General features: G+C 50.8%; 2 annotated features.

Annotated features, from left to right (window-relative positions):
- Positions 286–900: an enhancer, noted in NCBI's record as "H3K4me1 hESC enhancer chr17:71853558-71854172 (GRCh37/hg19 assembly coordinates)". NCBI's record gives its function as "activates a minimal SCP1, AML or CMV promoter by ChIP-STARR-seq in primed H9 embryonic stem cells {active_cell/tissue: H9 hESC(primed)}" and the evidence as "EXISTENCE:reporter gene assay evidence [ECO:0000049][PMID:30033119]".
- Positions 901–1,514: an enhancer, noted in NCBI's record as "H3K4me1 hESC enhancer chr17:71854173-71854786 (GRCh37/hg19 assembly coordinates)". NCBI's record gives its function as "activates a minimal SCP1, AML or CMV promoter by ChIP-STARR-seq in primed H9 embryonic stem cells {active_cell/tissue: H9 hESC(primed)}" and the evidence as "EXISTENCE:reporter gene assay evidence [ECO:0000049][PMID:30033119]".

The raw sequence follows: 6,798 nt of genomic DNA on the forward strand, positions 1-6,798 counted from the left end.
CAAGCACTAAATAGTCCACCCAGAAGGCTTCCGAGATGCTGGCAGCCACAGACTCCTGGAAGCTTGCAGGGAGGAAATGGAGATCATCCGCCTCTTGAACCCCTTGCCCACTGCCAAGTTCACAGGTCTTCAGCCCTCATCGCCTCCACAGGTGTCTGAGTCCAAGGAGTGGAAGTATCGGGATTCTATAGCAGTGGTTCTCCCTGGGGGCGACTTGACGCCTAGGGGATGTTTAGCAATATCTGGAGATCTTTCCTGATGGTCACGACTGGGGTTGGGAGATGCTGCTGGTATTTAGTGAGCAGAGCCTGGGATGTTGGTAAACAACCTGTAGTGCATGGGACAGCCCCACAACATGATTTATCCCTCCCCAAATGTCAGCAAAGCCCAGCTTGAGAAACCCCGCTCTATGGAAAGAAAGCCAGATAGTGGCAGGGGCTTTACTGAGACCAGGCTAACCTGTTCCTGGGTGGAGTCATCTGGCTTTTTCCCCATCTATATTCGATCCTCAAACTAGCACATTCACGACCTACGCAGGTTCTCCATACATACCCCACCCCCCCCCAAATGATGTGGCCTCAGAGGGGTCCTGATAGAGTTGAGGGTTGGCTGGGGCAGGAGATTTCCTGCTGGGGTCTCACGTGCTCACAGCAATAGTGCCATTCACCCTTCAGGTTCCTGTGAAGACAGGCTACACCGGGTGTGGAATTTAGTGGGTAGGTAGTAAACAAACAAATGCATGAAGTACTCCTCCCCTCCCACCCCTGCAGGTCCCATCTCTTATTTAATCCCAGGAAATTCACTGTATAAGCAGGGGTGTGGGGAGGGTGGCTGGGGCATCCCAGGCACCTGGCCTAGCCCTCCCTCCTCCCTCAGGGCCCCCTCGCTGCCCAGTGGCTTCAATCCGGACCAGGCTTCTTTAGGTGACAGGTCTGAGAGGTGTGAGGCTGTGTTTGTGTCATCTCCCGCCCTGATGCCAGGCTCTGTCCCTCCTGGGCACACTATGAGGAGGCCTCATAGTGGAGCTACCCTGAGAGCAGGCTCCCTGCCTTTGGAGTCACCACTCAGAGCTTGGGGTGACCTGTGGAGGCAGCAGCCTGGAGAACAGGCGTTTCCCCTCTTGCCCTGATCTTCCGAGTTAAGCTTTGGCCTGGCTGTGATGTATTATTAGTAATAATGCAAGCCCCCTTATTTATTACTTTTTAGCAGAGCCCAGAGCTCAACGTATTGAACTCACATCACCAAATCTTCTCGGCCATCGCATGACGATGTTTAATTCCCATTTGACTAATGGAGAAACCGAGTTTTAGAGAGGTTAAGTAACTTCTGCAAGGTCACAGAGCTGGTAAATAAGCAGGACACCCAGGATTCCCACCCTCGACTGACTCCAAAGGCCATCCTTTTAGTAGCAGGGGCCCCACTGTCCCCCTGGTCGCCCCCCTGAGCGGTCCACACGCCCCACCACCAGCATTACCTGGAAGCTTGTTAGAGTCACAGAATCCCAGCTCCACCCTAGAATATGAAATTGGCATCCGCACTTTCATATAAAGACCCTGGGGACTCAGGGTGCATTACAGTGACAATTCTCCAGGACAAGTGCTACGTTCCCGGAGGGTGGGGGGTGTTGGGGTGAATGGAGGGGGATGAGCATGTAGAGGCTCTAAGGAACCCAGGGAACTGGGGGCAGGTGCAGAGTTCGTCTGGGCCAGTTTGGTCCAGCTTACCAGATGTTTCACTTGCTGACCTCCAGGGCCGGATGACACCTGTGTCTAGCCACATCCCGGCCTTCACTCTGGATATTCGAGAATGTTGACTCCCCACTTGAGAAGTTCCCCTACTTCCAACTCCCTGGACCCCCTCCCCTCCTGCTCGTGGAGGCAGCTGGCTGGGTCTGATCTCTAGGCATTTGTGTTAGCCACATTACCAGAAGGGGCCCTGATCCAGACACCCAAGAGAGGGTTCTTGGATCCTGCACAAGAAAATAATCTGGGGCGAGTCCATAAAGTGAAAGCAAGTTGATTCAGAAAGTAAAGGAAAAAAGAATGCCCTTACCCAAATGCTGCCAGCAAGGGAACACCCTCTCTGGCTGCAGCCCCTCTGAATGGCTCATGTCATTGAGCCTTACTTTCTCATTACAAGTCCCACTGGCAGCATGAATGGGGGGTCTGGAGTCCCCTATATGTGACTGTCAGAGGTGTTTGAACAAGAGCAACTCCATCTTGAATGGGGGCTGGATAAAATGAGGCTGAGACCTACTGGCGCCAGTTATGGTTAAGGCATTGTAAGTCACAGGATGAGACAGGAGGTCAGCACAAGATACAGGTTATAAAGACCTTGCTGATAAAACAGGTTGCAGTAAAGAAGCTGGCTAAAAGCCACCAAAACCAAGATGGCAATGAGAGTGACCTCTGGTCATCCTCATTGTTCATTATATGCTAATTATAATGCATTGGCATGATAAAAGACACTCCCACCAGCACCAAGACAGTTTACAGATGCCATGGCAACATCAGGAAGTTACCCTATATGGTCTAGAAAGGGGAGGAACCCTCAGGTCAGGGGATTGCCCACCCCTTTCCTGGAAAACTGATGAATAATCCACCCCTTGTTTAGCATATAATCAAGAAATAACCATAAAAATGGGCAACCAGCGGCACTCAGGGCTGCTCTGCCTATGGAGTAGCCATTCTGATCTCTAGGCCCAGACAAGCCCACTCTCCCCTCTGCCAGAACAAACTTCCCCTGGTCCCCACTTCCTGAGCATTTTCCCAACTGCCTCCTGCATTTTTCTTCTGCATCAGTCTCTCTCATTGGAAACACTTTCATCTCCCCTTTGAGCTGGATTTGGGGCTTCCCCTGAGCCTCTGAGGTATTGTCTCTGTCACCAATTAGAATATAAAAGCTCAGCCATTTATCAAAGATACCCAGAAAGCAGTACCTGGACTGAAGTGCAGACAGGCATGTGTCTGCAAACCCAGATGCAGCCTCGCCTGGCGTGCACCGTTTCCACCCAACGTGGTCAGGAGGCTGGGAATGCATTTACAGACGGTCCCTGTAATCCCACAGGTGGGTGAGGGGATTTCCATTTTACATCTGAGGCTCAGGGAGGCAAGGGACTCCCTTAAGTCCTATGAGTGTGTGTATAAGTACAGCCAAAAAAAAACGGGCCGGGCACGGTGGCTCACGCCTGTAATCCCAGCACTTTGGGAGGCCAAGGCGGGTGGATCATGAGGTCAGGAGATCGAGACCATCCTGGCTAACATGGTGAAACCCCGTCTCTACTAAAAAATAGAACAAAAATTAGCCAGGCATGGTGGTGGGTGCCTGTAGTCCCAGCTGCTCAGGAGGCTGAGGCAGAAGTTGCAGTGAGCCAAGATCACGCCACTGCACTCCAGCCTGGGCGGCAGAGTGAGACTCCATCTCAAAAAAAAAAAAAAAAAAAAGAGGCAACGACTCAATTAAACAAGTTACTCTCTTGCCAATTCTGATCCGCTTCCTCCTTCACCCCACACCACACCCAATGTGCCCAAGACCAGCTGAGAACTCAAACATTCCTCTGGGTGTGTCAGGATCAATGAACACAGAAAGTCCAGGAACACATTCTAATGAAACACGGTGGCTCACAGTGTTCCTACGTAAGCTTTAGGCTTATTTGCACATTTTTAGACAGTAAATAGGCTCAACTCTGAGACAATGAAATGCATCATTTGCCAGGAGGCGACTCCATGTGATGGAAACTGCTAGAACTTGGCTGGACCCGGTTGCCACTTTCCCCCTTGGTGACTCGAGGCTGGGATCTTCAAATATTTTTTAAAGTTGTCCTATTTAAAAAGGAATTGATTTATTCTGAATTGTTCAAAGGTTGTGTTAGGACCAGAAGGCAGAAGAACAGGGAGAAACTTGGCTTTCTAACCCTTACTAACAGTAATGGCACACAATTACTGGCCTCGGAGAGCAATGTCTCAGACACGCAGGGCCCTCTTCCTCCTACCCCTAAGATTCCACCTTGGTCTACAGGTGAGAGCCTTCCAGGACCTCCTGTGTGACCCAGAGTGTGTGGGGAGAGTCCTCACTCCCTCCTAAACGAAGAGAATCAGGGCCTAGTTGGGAGATACCTGATCTCAACTGGGCCACATCCCAGCCTGATAAACAGATTCATGGCTGGGTCAGGCTAGCCTGGAGGCCACCACCCACCGCTCTCTACTCCTGGTGCCAGCTCTCCGTTCCATGCATGACGGGGTCTGCAAGGCAGGCAGTAACCCTTTGGGGAACCAATGGGTGAGGTGGTGAGTCCAGAGCCTGCCTGGTGGGCCCAGGTCTCCTCCGGGCAGACTCTAATGTCTCAGTTTGAGAGAGAAGTAGGTAGAAGACTCTGACTTTGGCCCTATGAGCATTTTCCACTCAAGCGTTTTCAGGAGACCCTGCCCATTAAAGCAGGGGTCTGCAAATGTTTTCATAAAGGTCTAGATAGTAAATACTTTGGGCTTTTTGCCCCAAACAGTCTCTGTTGCAACCACTCGATGCCATTGTCATGCAAAAGCAGCCACAAACAATATGTAAATGAATGAGAGTGGCTGTGTTCTAATAAAGCTTTATTTATAAAAGCAGGCCACAGCAGGGCTGGATTTGACCTGTGGGCCAGAGTTTGCCAATCTGCTTGAGAGTTACTGGGCCTCCAAGACTCTGACACGCATTTGGCTCCATGAGTTCAGAGGGCAAGGTGGGTGAAAGATCGATGCTCCCATTTGTCAATTGGAACCTTGGGGGTCACCCATTAACCTGGTAGATCTTCCAAAAGCACCCTGGGGTCCATGCTGTCATCATCCCCATTTTACAGATGAGAAAGTAGAGACTCAGGCTCAGGACCTTGCCCTGGATTCATATTGGTGGTGACATTTGTGTTAGCCACATTACCAGAAGGGGCCCTGATCCAGACCCCCAAGAGGGGGTTCTTGGATCCTGCACAACCAGATAATTTGGGGCGAGTCCATAAAGTGAAAGCAAGTTGATTCAGAAAGTAAAGGAATAAAGAATGGCTACTCCATAGGCAGAGCAGCCCTGAGTGCCGCTGGTTGCCCATTTTTATGGTTATTTCTTGATTATATGCTAAACAAGGGGTGGATTATTCATCAGTTTTCGGGGAAAGGGGTGGGCAATCCCCTGACCTGAGGGTTCCTCCCCTTTCTAGACCATATAGGGTAACTTCCTGATGTTGCCATGGCATCCGTAAACTGTCAAGGTGCTGGTGGGAGTGTCTTTTAGCATGCTAATGCATTATAATTAGCATATAATGAACAATGAGGATGACCAGAGGTCACTCTCATTGCCATCTTGGTTTTGGTGGGTTCTAGCCAGCTTCTTTACTGCAACCTGTTTTATCAGCAAGGTCTTTATAACCTGTATCTTGTGCTGACCTCCTGTCTCATCCTGTGACTTAGAATGCCTTAACCCTGACTGGGGAATGCAGCCCCAGTAGGTCTCAGCCTCATTTTATCCAGCCCCCATTCAAGATGGAGTTGCTCTTGTTCAAACACCTCTGACAGCCACATAGAGGGGACTCCAGACCCCCCATTCATGCTGCCAGTGGGACTTGTAATGAGAAAGTAAGGCTCAATGACATGAGCCATTCAGAGGGTCTGCAGCCAGAGAGGGTGTCCCCTTGCTGGCAGCATTTGGGTGAGGGCTGCCTAGCTGGGCGTGGGGGCCTGATTCCCTCCGAGGCTTCCTCCAGCTCTCTGCAGGTGACACCAGGCTCTTTATAAATAGCAGGGCCTGCTTTCACCAGGACTTGCTGGTCTGCTGCTTTGTAAACAGGCTTTCTTCTATTTGTGCTCTCTTCTGAGCATCGTTCTATACTCCTTGAGGTTAGGGACACCTTGATAGTGACCACACCCTGCCCCACACAGCCTGGACAGATCTCTGTTCACTGGGGGCCTGGCTGACCAGTGATGGAAGGTGAGTACGGGAGCACCGTCACCCAGAGTTCACTAAACCTTGGGAGTGGACGACCTGAGAGCCCAAGGTGGCCTTGGTCTCTGCCCATCATGCCTGATAGAGAGCACCTACCTCCAGGAATGGAAGCAGTGAGGGAGGCTTTGTGTTTTTCAAAAGAATAAAGTGCAAATTGGTGGTCTGACTCCAATGCCAAACACCGTGCCCAACAGGAGATCCCTGCGCAGCCTGCCAGCGCTGACAAGGAGGAAACAGTAACAAATGCCATCTCCACGAAAATCACATCGCAGCATTCGCAGGCAAGAGTGGGGGCCTGGGCCACACACTGGCTGCTGTGTTTCCCTGCAAGTTTCCAAGTCACTGACCACTAGGGATCCCTGCCACTTTACAGATGTGGAAACTGATGCTCTATCAATGTCATCAGTGCGAACATCTACCCAGCGCTTGGATCTCCTTAGCAGGATTGCAAACCTAGAGTTAGTTCTAGAATCACTTGAGGGGCCGGGGTTCTGTTTTATTTTATTATATTTTATATTTTGATTTTTATAGACAAGGGGTCTCACCTTGTTTCCCAGGCTGGTATTGAACTCTGGGTCTCAAACAATCATTCTACCTTAGCCTCTCAAAGTTCTGGGCTTACAGGCGTGAGCCAGGGTTCTGTCTGACTTATTCACGGCTCTCTCCAGAGGGCATTGCCCAGCACTGACACACAGTAGGTGCTCAAAAAACATGCATCTCAGGAATAGGTGGCAACTGGGGACTGAGAGGGGAGAGTTGGCTGAATCCCACAGCCCAGCACTCGGCCCCTCTTCCCTCCTGCACCCCCAGCCAGGTACAGAGTTACAT

This window comes from Homo sapiens, chromosome 17 (genome assembly GCF_000001405.40).
Source record: "Homo sapiens chromosome 17, GRCh38.p14 Primary Assembly".
Lineage (NCBI taxonomy): Eukaryota > Metazoa > Chordata > Mammalia > Primates > Hominidae > Homo > Homo sapiens.